This window comes from Homo sapiens, chromosome 13, assembly GCF_000001405.40.
Source record: "Homo sapiens chromosome 13, GRCh38.p14 Primary Assembly".
Taxonomy (NCBI): Eukaryota; Metazoa; Chordata; class Mammalia; order Primates; family Hominidae; genus Homo; species Homo sapiens.
In genome coordinates, this window is record NC_000013.11 from 75,680,115 (window position 1) to 75,693,354 (window position 13,240).

General features: G+C 40.0%; 1 protein-coding gene and 1 pseudogene across 5 annotated transcripts in view, besides 2 other annotated features; one reads left to right on the forward strand and one right to left on the reverse strand.

Annotated features, from left to right (window-relative positions):
- Nucleotides 1-13,240, forward strand: part of LMO7 (LIM domain 7) — a 239,437-nt gene that overhangs the window by 59,681 nt on the left and 166,516 nt on the right. The window lies entirely within an intron of this gene.
- Nucleotides 4,876-5,376: an enhancer, noted in NCBI's record as "OCT4-NANOG-H3K27ac hESC enhancer chr13:76259126-76259626 (GRCh37/hg19 assembly coordinates)". NCBI's record gives its function as "activates a minimal SCP1, AML or CMV promoter by ChIP-STARR-seq in naive H9 embryonic stem cells {active_cell/tissue: H9 hESC(naive)}" and the evidence as "EXISTENCE:reporter gene assay evidence [ECO:0000049][PMID:30033119]".
- Nucleotides 5,377-5,877: an enhancer, noted in NCBI's record as "OCT4-NANOG-H3K27ac hESC enhancer chr13:76259627-76260127 (GRCh37/hg19 assembly coordinates)". NCBI's record gives its function as "activates a minimal SCP1, AML or CMV promoter by ChIP-STARR-seq in naive H9 embryonic stem cells {active_cell/tissue: H9 hESC(naive)}" and the evidence as "EXISTENCE:reporter gene assay evidence [ECO:0000049][PMID:30033119]".
- Nucleotides 8,440-9,083, reverse strand: FAM204CP (family with sequence similarity 204 member C, pseudogene; annotated as a pseudogene).

Sequence of the window (13,240 nt, forward strand, 5' to 3'; positions counted from 1 at the left end):
TTCAGCTCCCACTTGTAAGTGAGAACATGCGGTGTTCAGTTTTCTATTCCTGTGTTAGTTTGCTGAGGATAATGGCTTCCAGCTCTATCCATGTCCCTGCAAAGGGCATGATCTCGTTCCCTTTTGTGGTTGCACAGTATTCCATGGTGTATATGTACCACATTTTCTTTATCCAGTCTATCATTGATGGGCATTTGGGTTGATTCCATGTCTTTGCTATTGTAAACAGTGCTGCAGTGAACATATGTGTGCATGTATCCTTATAATAGAATGATTTATCCTCCTTAGGCTGTAGACCCAGTAATGGGATTGCTGGTGAAATCATATTTCTGGTTCTAAGTCTTTGAGTAATTGCCACACTGTCTTCCACAGTGGTTGAACTAATTTACATTCCTTCCAACAGTGTAAAAGCATTCCTATTTCTCCACAGCCTTGACAGCATCTGTTGTTTCTTGACTTTTTTTTTTTTAATTTTACTTTAAGTTCTGGGGTCCATGTGCAGAACGTGCAGTTTTATTACATAGGATACACGTGCTGTGGTGGTTTGCTGCACCCATCAACCCGTCACCTGTATTAGGTATTTCTCCTAATGCTATCCCTCCCCTATCCCCCAACCCCTTGACAGGCCCCAGTGTGTGATGTTCCCCTCCCTGTGTCCATGTGATCTCATTGTTCAACTCCCACTTATGAGTGAGAACATACGGTGTTAGGTTTTCTGTTCTCGTCATAGTCTTTACTTTTTAATAATTGCCATTTTGACTGGTATCTCATTGTGGTTTTGATTCGCATTTCGCTAATCATCAGTGAGTTGAGCTTTTTTCCTATGTTCATTGGCTGCATAAATGTCTTTTTTCGAGAAGTGTCTGTTCATGTCCTTTGCCCACTTTTTAATGAGGTTTTTTTTTTGTTGTAAATTTGTTTAAATTCCTTATAGATTCTGAATATTAGACCTTTGTCAGATGGATAATTGCAGAACTTTTCTCCCATTCTGTAGGTTGTCTGTTCACTCTGATGATAGCTTCTTTTGCTGTGCAGAAGCGCTTTAGTTTAATTAGATCCCATTTGCCAATTCTTACTTTTGTTGCAATTGCTTTCGATGTTTTTGCCATGAAATCTTTGCCCATGTCTATGTCCTGAATGGTATTGCCTAGATTTTCTTCTAGGATTTTTATAGTTTTGTGTTTTACATTTAAGTCTTTAATCCATCTTGAGTTATTAATGCTCAGCAAAGTTTATGAGCTACTATCCTAAACTTCTGGTAATATCAGTTCAGATAATAGCAACATTTCTGGTAGCCATTTCATACTATCAACTCATCCTTTTAAATTGAAATATGATTTACAGTAAAATTTATCCTTTTTAGTATACTGAGTTCTGACAAATGCATACAATTATGTAACTGTCAGTCCAACAGAATACAGCACTGTCCCATTACCCTCCCCCACCAAGTTTCTTTGTGCACCCTTTTGTAGTCAACTCTTCTCACTCTGTCGTCTTCCCTCTGCCCTGGCAACCCCTGATCTGCTTTTAGTCCTTATAGGTAACTGTAGTTTTGTCTTTTGGGGAATGTCATGTATGTATGTATGTATGTGTATATATATATGTATATATATATATATATATATATATATATATGGAATCTTATTATTTGTAGCCTTTTGAGTCTGGCTTCTTTCACTTAGCATAATGTATTTGAGACATATCCGTACTGTTGTTTCTATCATCAGTAAATCATATCTTTTTATAGCTGAGTAGTATTCCTTGCATGGATGTACCACAGTTTGTTAATCCATTTGAAGGAGATTTGGGTTGTTTCCAGTTTTTTGGAATTTTGAAGCTGTTATGAGCATTCATCCTACGGTTTTTATTTATCTGAGTAAATACTGAAGAGTGGGATTGATGGGGCATATGGAAAGTATATGCTAAAGTTTACAAGAAATAGATGAACTGCTTTCCACATTGGCCACAATGTTCTGCATTCCTACCAACAATGTATGAGAGTTCTATTCTTCTACACCCTTGTCAGCACTTGCTATTTTGAGTTCTTAAAATTTTAGCCATTCTTAAAGGTAGTACTAATATGTTTGTAGGTATGCAGTAGTGGTTTTAATCTGCATTTACCTAATGACTTAATTGTTAAGTTGGAGCACCTAGCATCCTCTGTTAGACATTAGGCCTTAGCTACTTCTTCATGAATTTCTGGATGTCAGGACAAATGGCACACAAAGTAAATAGCCAAAGATTCCCAGGAGAAGGGCTTGGATTTTGTCTGAAGTTAGGAGATGGGGAGAGGGTTGGTGGTTTGAAATTTTTATTGTGGTTAAGGGGTGGAGCCTGGATGGGGTGCCTCTTTTTTGCCACCCAGGATGGGTAGTTTGAAATTTCCATGAGTGCCAAGGGACAGATGGTATACATGGGCTTTCTTATCAGGTTGCCCAGATGTGGGGTAAAGAGGAAAGGGGAGGGTGGTGGCCTTGAAAGCTGTCAGAGGTCAACATCAAAAACAGTCTTTATTTATTTATTTATGTTTACAAAATCGCCTGAGAATACACTTCTCAGAAATATCCAGTCATTATGGGATGTATTACTGTACTTCTAGTCCATTTCATTGTTCATTTACCTTTGTTCCCCACACATCTTGACTCCTTAAAAGCAACGCATGTCATATGATTTTGCAAATCCAATGTTTACTACAATAAGAGCCTAATAAATGTCCATTGAATTAATCCACAAGGCTTATACTAAAAATTGAGTCTTTTTATTATACTATTGACATTGAGCATATTCTCATGTGCTTATTTGCCATCTATGTATCTTCGATGAAGTGTCCAGATTATTTGTTTGCCCATCTTTTAAATTGGATTGCTTGAGAGTTCTATTTTCTAGATACAAGTCTTTTATCAGATATGTTTTGCAAACATTTACTTCCAGTGGTTTGACTTTTTTTTTCTTTTTTTTTTTTTTGAGATGGAGTTCTGCTCTGTTGCCCAGGCTGGAGTGCAGTGGTGATTTCAGGTCATTGCAACCTCCACCTCCTGGGTTTAAGTGATTCTCCTGCCTCAGCCTCTTAACAGTGCCTTTCAAAGAGTAAAAGTTTTAATTTGGATGAAATCCAGTTCATCTCTTTTCCCCTTCTATTGATTGTGCTTGTGGTTCATATCTAAGACATTTTTGCCTAGCCAAATATCACAAATTTATTTCCAATATTATAAAACTTCTAAAAGTTTTATAGATTTGGATATTGCAATTAGGTCTAAGATACTTTTTGATTTATATTTGCATATGGTGGACAGTTTGAATTGAGGTTTACGTTGGTTTGCATATAGAAGTCCAGTTGTGTTCCAGCACCAATGATTATCATTCTTATTTAATACAGTCTCATCCTTATATTTTCCTTAGCAGATTTCTAGTCAGCTATGCCGTTGTTCTCCAGTACTTTTAAACCCAAGGGCAATATCTTAAGTATATACCTTGGCAATATGAAGTGTGAACCCAATAGTATCTGAGACAGGTCTCAATCAATTTAGGAAGTTTATTTTGCCAAGGTTAAGGACACAGCCTCAGGAGGTCCTGACATGTGCCCAAGGTGGTCAGGGTACAGCTTGCTTTTATATGTTTTAGGGAGATATACATCAATACATGTAAGATTTACATTGGTTCCATCTGGAAGTGTGACAACTCAGTGCAAGGGGGCTTCCAGCTTATAGGTTGATTAAAAATTTTTCTGATTGGCAATTTGTTGATAGAATTATTATCAATAAAAAGGAATGCCTGAATGATGATAAGGGATTGGGGAGACCAAGGTTTTATGCAGATGAAGCCTCCAGGTAGCAGGCTTCAGAGAGAATAAATTGTGAATATGTCTTATCAGAGTTAAGGTCTGGGTTGATGTTAATGTTGGTCAGCTTTTCCTGAATTCCAAAAGGGAGGGGGGACAGAATGAGGCATCTGACCCCCACCTCCACTTCCCATCTTATCCTGAACTCGTTTTTCAGGTTAACTTTGCAATGCCCTTGGCTGAGGGAAGGGGTCCATTTAGATGGTTGGGGGCGGCCTTAGAATTTTATTTTTGGTGTACAGAAGTACTGGAAAAGTGCTTTGTATCCCAACTTTGTCACCTTGAAATTTTTTTTCTTGAGATGCAGTTTCGCTCTTGTCTCCCAGGCTAGAGTGCAATGGTGCAATCTCTGCAATCTCTGCTCACTGCAACCTCCGCCTCCCAGGTTCAAGCGATTCCCTGCCTCAGCCTCCTGAGTAGCTGGGATTACAGGCATGTGCCACCATGTCTGGCTAATTTTGTATTTTTTTTCAGTAGAGACGCGGTTTCTCCACGTTGGTCAGGCTTGTCCTGAACTCCTGACCTCAGGTGATCCGCCCTCCTTGGCCTCCCAAAGTGCTGGGATTACAGGCGTGAGCCACTGCGCCCGGCCGGCTTTTTTTTTTTTTTTTTTTAAACAAGTTTTACCATGAAAGGCAGAAAGCCTTTGGGAAGGACATAGGAGTTGGCCAACCTTCTTAGGTAAATAGGGTTAAATAGAAGGAAAAATAGGGGGAGGCTTCGAAATCCTGTAACATAGCTAGAGAGTGGCAGGGCTGGAATTGAAACAGTTGTGTCTAACCCAAACCTTGTGCTTGTTGCTGTATACATATATACGTGTGTGTATATACGTATGTGTATATATGTGTGTGTGTGTATATGTATATACATATATACACACACGCACATACACACACACACAGTTTGCTCAGCCCTACCAATGTTACTTTGTCTCTTTAAGGCAAGAGCCCTAATTTTCTCACTTATAGTGATTTACACTTATGCCAGCTGTTAGATAATTGTAGCGGCCCCTTTAAGGTTTGATCTTCTATGGCATTGCGATTTGTTGGGTTAACTCTGGTGAATTCCGCCTATCTTTAGCTATTCAGTAAATTATTTTGTGAAAGCAGCAATACTGGAAACTGGAAATAATGTTTTCCATAACTTTCCAGTTGTTTATCATCTAGGTGATTTTCCCAGAATTTGTTAGATAACATGAAAAGATTTCACCTGAGTATCTTTCGGTTTAGATTTTCCATGGAATTTGCTTTGATTTCATTTTGCATAGCAGATACTCAGTAAACATCCTGTAAGACTCAGACATGGACTTGGAGTAAGCTGGGTTTGCAGTTTCTGTGAACTGTGCTGGCCTCTGGGAATGAGGCTGCTATGCCACATATTTGAGTGTTCTTTACCCCTTCTGGCTAGAGTTGACTCATGTTTGTGTGAAGTGGAAGGAAACTAAAGCCTCATCCCACGCTTTTGTCTTCCAAAAGAATGCCAAAGAGAGAGACCAATTAAAAGATGAAAGCCTGGCAATGCATTTTAATCTTCTCATCTGCCCATCCTAAGCAGCCTCCAGGCCTTGTCAACAGGGGGAAGCACTTGAGCCTGTGGAATATTTGCTTGGATTTGTCCTGTGGAACTAACTGGTTACTCAGCTGCTCATTGTTTATACCAAAATGGCTGCCAAAGAACGTGTTGAAATGAAACCAGAGTTTCAGGCTTACCTTTGAATGCATAGCTCTCTGAGGCCTGGAATGGTGGCTGATAGACAAAAAATTTGAAGAGTAAGAGAAGGTGGGAAAAGCCTGGACATATGAGATATATCCACGGGCCATAATTATGTACATGAAATGAGGGATGATAAATAGGGAGAAAATGGCTACTCTTACATCAATTCACTGGGAAATGAAGACCAATCAAACCAAGGGTTTTTCATCCTACCTTTTCTTTCTCTTTTTTTTTTTTTTTTTTTTTTTGAGACAGGGTCTCACTCTGTCACCCAGGCAGTGGCCCAATCATAGCCTACTGCAGCCTTGATCTCCAGGACTCAAGTGATCCTCCTGCATAGCTGGGACTACAGGTGTGCATGACCACTCCTGGCTAATTTTTTGAAAATTTTTCAGTAGAGACGTGGTCTCACCATGTTGTCCAGGGTGGTTTTGAACTCCTGGGCTCAAGCAGTCCTCCCACTTCAGCCTCCTAAAGTGCTGGGATTACAGGGGTGTATTAGTCCATTTTCACGCTACTGATAAGGACATACCCAAGACTTGGCAATTTCCAAAAGAAGATTATTGGACTCACAGTTCCACGTGGCTCACAATCATGGTGGAAGGTGAAAGGCATGTTTACCTGGTGGCAGACAAGAGAAGAGAGAGAACTCATGCAGGGGAACTCCTCTTTATAAAATGATCAGATCTCGTGAGACTTAATCATCATCACGAGAACAGCATGGGAAAGACTTCCCCACATGATTCAATTATCTCCCACCTGGTCCCTCCCACAACACATAGGGTTTCAAGATGGTATTTGGGTGGGGATACAGCCACACCATATCAAGGGGTAAGCTGCCATGCCTGGCCCTATCTTACCTTTTTTTTTTTTTTTTTTAAACTCTCTGTAAGGGATAAAATATATTGGAGTTGGCTTTATGGGAGAGGATTTTAGATTTGACAGACTAGTGGAATGTGTACAGAAGGGTCTAGGGAAAGTTTGTGGCAACAGTATCCAAAAGTGAATCCTTGCAGTAAGAAAGCTGGAGAAACATTGAGGAGAAGATGTGCAAATGTGTGGTTAGTCATTGTCAGTCAGGGCTGCTATAACAGAGTATATAGGGTGCATGGCTTCAGCAACAGACACTTATTTCTCATAGTTCTGGAAGCTGGGAAGCCCAAGATTAAGGCACCAGAAGATCTGGAAGTGAGGGACCACTTCCTGGTTCATAGCTGGCACTCTCCATGCGTCCTCACATAGCAGAAAAGGGCTAGAGAGCTGTCTAGGGTCTCTTCTAAGGGCACAAATTTCATAGATGAGGTCTCCATTCTCATGATCTAAATTACCTCCAAAGGCCCTACCTCCTAATACTGTCACATTGAGGGTTAGGATTTTGGCATATGAATGTTGGGGAGATACATTCAGTGCATTGCATCCATCCTGTCAGGAAGTGAGGGGATACACTATGGATTCTCCCTGCATGAAGGGTATTATCCCTGTCCTGGATTTATTTTTTGTGACTGTTTCCAGGATTTGTTTCTATAAAGTGACCACTGATTGTGTGAGGAGTCTAAAACTTGACTGTATTAGTGTCAGTTTTGTCAGAAATATTAGGCTGTCATGTCAGATCAGAGTCTTGGGTGACTGGAATACAGGATGGGTAAGTTTTGAAGGAAAAAACAGGACAGTTCTGGAGCACAAAGTACAATGTGGCCACCAGAGGGTAGTATTTATTCAACAAGGATTTCTTGAACTTCATACTTTACCACTGAGATTCTTGGGGAAAAAGGACAGACTGAAGGGAGCTTTGTACTGACTTTATACTTGTCTTCCTCTCCATTTTTCTCTACTTGGTTAACTCCAATAAAATACATTTTTTTTCACTCAAACTTTTTTTTTCCAAGCAGAGTTACTCTATAGCATTGAATGTGTACCTGTATATAGCACTTGTTATGTATTTTATTTGCTTTTTTATTGAAATATTTTATTCAAAGGAACAGAAAATTAATGGCTTTTACAATGTGACTGAAATATTAATTCTACTGTCTCCCACTAAAGATTTAAGAATTACTTTTATAACAAAGTAATTAAAGTGTTTGTAAAGACACCATCAGCTGAGATAGACTCTCTTGGTACTTATGATTAATCCATTATGAACAGCAATCTTAAAAATAAAATGCAAGAATAAGTACCTGATATTGTTTTGCTGTGTCCCTACCCAAATCTCATCTTGAATTGTAGCTCCCATAATCCCCACGTGTTGTAGGAGGGACCTGGTGGGAGGTAATTGAATCATGGGGGTGGTTCTTTCCCATGCCATTCTTGTGATAGTGAATAAGTCTCACGAGATCTGATGGTTTTATAAAGGGGAGTTCCCCTGCATATGTTCTCTTGCCTGCCGCCACGTAAGATGTGCCCTTCTCCTCCTTTGCCTTCCACCATGATTGTGAGGCCTCCGCAGCCATGTGGAACTGTGAGTCCATTAAGCCTGTTTTTCTTTATACATTACCCAGTCTTGGGTATGTTTTTATTAGCAGCATGAGAGCAGAGTAACACAGTACCTTTAAACCAAGTCAAGGTGTAAGAAGCTCAATGGCTATGCTGAACCCACATGATAAAAATGAAAATGGATTTCATACTGTAGGTCTATATAATTGTTAAAAATCCTGCCATTTCCCCCATATGTATGCTTAGAATTCTTGTGCGAATAACAGAAAGCTCCATTTCATTCACTTCACTGGGATAAACTCCTTAGAAAAAGGTTGAAAAGATTTGATAATTAGCTCCCGTATCTATGCTTATTCTTTCAACTTCTGTCGGTTTTCTGACACATTTAACACAAGCAGGAACATCTTTTCCTAAGCCCTTGGAGCCTATCAATGTATTGAAGAAGGCTGGCCAAGATATATATATCCCATGTTGTTTTTGGTTTCCCATCTATTCTTTGCATTAACCCCCCATGGAAGTTTCTTCTTTTTCTGAGTAACTCATGAATTTGCAGCCTCCTTTTTGGCTTTCGCAAAGTTGTAGCAGGCAGCAGCTTTGACATTTTTGACACCAAGCTACTTGCTAAAGTCTTCAATATTCTTCATATTCCGTCTCTCCACACACTGTTCTGTGCTTTTCTCTCAAAGGCCTGACTTACTCATTTTTTTTTCTTTTTTCTATTTCTTCAAACCCATCACTGATGCCAAAATTGAATAAGCTCCTTCCATTGGGCTTTATTTAATGATCATTCCCTATGAGCTGCCTCTTTATTCTTTAATTTATCTTTTTGAGTATTTTCTTCTCCCCGCTCAGTCTTGAGGTTTTATGTTTGGAATGTTTTTAATGCAATTCTTGAAATTTATTCTACATATTTAAGGAAATTTCAGAAGTGTACTCTGTATATGCATTGACATTTACCTCTCTTTCATTTTTCTGGCCCATTTGGAAAGAAACCTGAGGTTTGTTTTTCTAATTATCTGATCTTTATCTTCCTCTAAGAGTTCATCTTCAGAATTCATTACATCACTTCATTTAGGTCAGGAATAAGCAGCTCACTCCACATCATTTATTTAATTTCACGTCTCTAAGAGGATGGCTTTAGAAAAGTGCTCTTCTGCCTGGCCACACAACCAGAAGTCAGTAGGCTCTGGGACTGAGTTTTAACTCCAATCCCATTGTGGGTTGAATTCCCCACTGGACATAGGATTAAATGCTCATGTCCTGGGTAGGATTTCCAGGAACTATAGCTATTTTCCAAGATACAGCATTTCATGAACATACTCAATTTTTCCAGTGTAGAGCATACTGTGATGGTTAATATTGAGTGTCAACTTGATGGATTGAAGGATGCAAAGTATTGTGTTGGGCGTGTCTGTGAGGGTGGTGCCAAAGGAGATTAACATTTGAGTCAGTGGGCTGGGAGAGACAGACCCACCCTCAATCTGGGTGGGCACCATCTAATAAGCTGCTGGCACAGCTAGAATAAAGCAGGCAAAAGACGGTGGAAAGAGCAGACTTGCTAAGCCTTCTGGCCTTCATCTTTCTCCTGTGCCAGATGCTTCCTGCCCTCAAACATCACACTCCAGGTTCTTCAGGTTTTGGACTCTTGGACCTACACCAGCGGTTTGCCATGGCTCTCGGGCCTTCAGCCACAGACTGGAGATTGCACTGTCAGCTTCTCTAACTTTTGAGGTTTTGGGACACGGACTGGCTTCCTTGCTTCTCAGCTTTTAGAGGGCTTATTGTGGGACTTGACCTTGTGATCCTGTGAGTCAATACTCCTTATTAAACCATATATACATGTCTCCTGTGAGTTCTGTTCCTCTAGAGAACCCTGACTAATACACTTATTCCTCTCACTTTGGCTGTGGAAAGAGAACCGAAGAGAACCCTTTCCGACTAAAGAGCCAGGAAGGTGCTGAGCCCTCCTTTTTTTTTTTTTCTTAAACAGTTCTACTTATTTTTATTTTTATTTTACTTTTAGAGATGGGGGTCTTACTATGTTGTCCAGACCAGTCTCCACCTCCTGGCCTCAAGCGATCTTTTCATCTTAGCCTCCTTAGTAGCTGGGATTACAGGCTGTGGCCTCCACATAGCCTGAGCCACCTTCTCCTCAGAAAAGACCAAACCAGAGTGATCTCTGGATGATCACAGTGATCTTTTTCCTCAAAGGTGGTCCAGGCTGGGGGGTCTTCTCTGCTTTGATCTGCCTACACTAGGCTTTCCGGGAGGCCTGCCCAAAATGTCACCAGGACCCCACGCTCTTATTTGGTGTTTTGTCCTATATTTGAGAGCTCCTCCAGGGCATGCTGTGATAAATATATATATTTGTATCTGTCTGAGTACTAGGTTTGGCACCAATGTATTTGAATAAATAAAGTACTTGATTGACAAATGTTAATTACAGCATTTGGCAAATTTTTCCTGCAAGGGACAAGATAGTATATCTGTTAGGCATTATGGCCAATGGGTCTCTGGTAAGACTACTCAACTCTCTCTCTCTACTGTAGTAAGAACTCCCCTTGTAAGTGATTGAAAGCTTATATTCCAGTAAAACTTTACTTATAAAAACAAGTGATAGGCCAAGTTTGGCCCACAGGCTCTAGTTTGGTCACCCTTAGTTTAAGGTGTGGTTTTCAATAAAATTGGAAATGGGTTTGTCAGTTCGTTTGTCTTCCACATTACTTTTAGCATAGTACTGAGGAAATGTGCACAGATACTTGCTGAAAGGATGAACAATAGTTTCCACTGCCTGAATAATAATTGCCACTACTTTTTCTGATAATGTTGCAAGGAAATTTTCAGAGAATGTGTAAGGGATTACCTATAAATTGTCTTTACACATAAAATTTTTATACATATTTATAATATATATGTAGATATGTATATGTATTCATACATATTTTATTCATACATATTTTACATGCAGTTAAAACTGGAGATTTAATTTTAGTAAATGAGAAGTTTTGTTAAGTCCAATTGGAGTGTACTCTTTAAACAAAACTAGAAGATTTCTGTAAGCCAAACTGACTGAGAAAAGTGTTTTTCACAAAGCTTTAAAAAAATTAGTTTTGCTTCAGGTAAGGTGAATATAATGAAACCATCTCACTGTTTATAGACCAATGACCTAATATTTGCAGTATTATTCATGCCATCAATCTTTTGGGTGTGTTGAGTAGAGGATGTTTGTTCAGTTTAGTTTAAAAAATGCAGACTGCTTTATCATAAGAAAAGATGCAGGATTTGTATGGTCTTGGCCTGACTTAACAGTAAACAACCTGGTGTCACAGTAAACAACTTGGCCAACTCACGTCAGCCTCAGTCATTGCCTGGGATGGGGGAGTTTTCATCATCAGCCTGAACACTCAGGCTCCCTGTCCAGTTCCCATGCTTCCTCCTGGGCCTTTTCACTCTGGCCTCTGGAGCAGTTGTTCTATGATGAACACTCCAGTGTTGATCTCTTTCTTCGGGCTTTGAAACCCAGTCCTCTCTTTCTCCTATAGCCTTCCCCAGTGGAGTCTGATGTTTCCTCTGTACCCTACATACTACAGGGCTGAGAAAAGGGGCTACTTCCAGACAATTAGCCTGAAGTGTTCACATGGAAATATCTATGCTTAATCTCCTTTGGTTAAACTATCCAACATCCCTCCTCCTCATTAGGATACTGACCCCCCATTCACCCCTCTTTACTCAGTGAAGACTGCGCCCAGCTGCCTCCTCCCCACCCTAACCCTGCCATCCTGCTGGGTGAACACAGTGCAGACCTGGAGGGCCTGCTGAGTTCTCTAACTTCCCAATTCCATGACCTCCATTTCTACTCCAACCACTTTCTTTGATGTCTTAGTACTGGATTTAGTAATTTCCTGGGGAGGCTTCACCTTTGCATTATTAAATCCCAATATCTTACCTTGCAGCTTCAACTATACCTGTTTTATCAAAACCTCTTGACTTTCTGCCTCCTCCTGCATTATGTAGTCTGCACAAGCTGATACTAAGCCACTTTTGTGACAGTATTTTCAAACTTGCTCTATTGTCCTCTTATTACATCTACCCAGGAAAACCTAACTGTTACCATTTTGCTCAAGTATTCTTGATCTGTACTAGCTCCAGACTACCCAGGCCCTAGTTCTGCAGATTGGGTCACAAGCCAACAGACACCAGCTAGTTTCAGGGTCGTTAGTTCATTCAGTGTCTATTATTTAAGAGATTTTTACACATAACCCATAGGAGTGCTACGATTCCTTAAATATGTTTCTTTTCCTTTTTTTTTTTTTCTTTCCAGAGACAGAGTCTTGCTCTGGAGTGCAGTGGCATGATCATAACTTACTGCAGCCTTGAACTTCTGGACTCAAGGGATCCTCCCATCTCAGCCTCCCGAGTATCTGGCACCACAGGCGCACACCACCATGCCTGGCTCATCTTTTTAATTTTTTTGTACGTAGGGTCTTTCTGTGTTGCCCAGCCTGGACTTACAAGTATGAGCCACTGCACTCGGCCATTTTTTTCCTAATTACTTTAGGATCCTGCATGCATGCTTGCTACTACTCATATTCCTTTGGGATTGTCTAGTCAAGTTTTAGCTCTTTTAGTTTGGAGCTTCACTTCATACCAGTTATCGAATGGCTGTGCCTTCTCAGTCAATGTCTTCCTGAAGTGTAACCTTTCTCTAGGAGATTTAACTTATTTCCTCAAGGCTTTTTATAGAAGGAGATAATACTGGTGCCCTTCAGTCTTCTTCTTTTGACTTTGGAGGGTAAAAGAAGGCTTTTAGGCAAATGTGAAGCAGTGCGGAAGCATCCTGTTTGGCTTAGACAAGCTAGAGTTTACAGGGCACTCTGCATACTCCTGTGAAAAGGAGTCTGCTATTTTGAGATTAAGACTATATTACAGAAGCTGTAACTTTGCTCAGTTCCTCAGTGTCAGGAAGTGGCATATACAGATCTCACTTAATCACTGAAGCTATAATTTTGGGTCAAGTGTATGGGTAGCTGTATTATCTGGCCTTTTTTTGGTAATACAGTTAATACAATGGCCTGGAATATCAGCTTAGAGTTCAAAGAAGCAAGACTAGTATGCATGATATAATCCATCATCCTTCTTATTCATGAAAGTGCTTATTAAACAACCACATTTTGATAAATGTATAAATACAGATGAGTAAATAACAAAGGCAATTTTAAGTCTTTTTGTGTAGCACTGACATTTGTTCTATTATTAGCC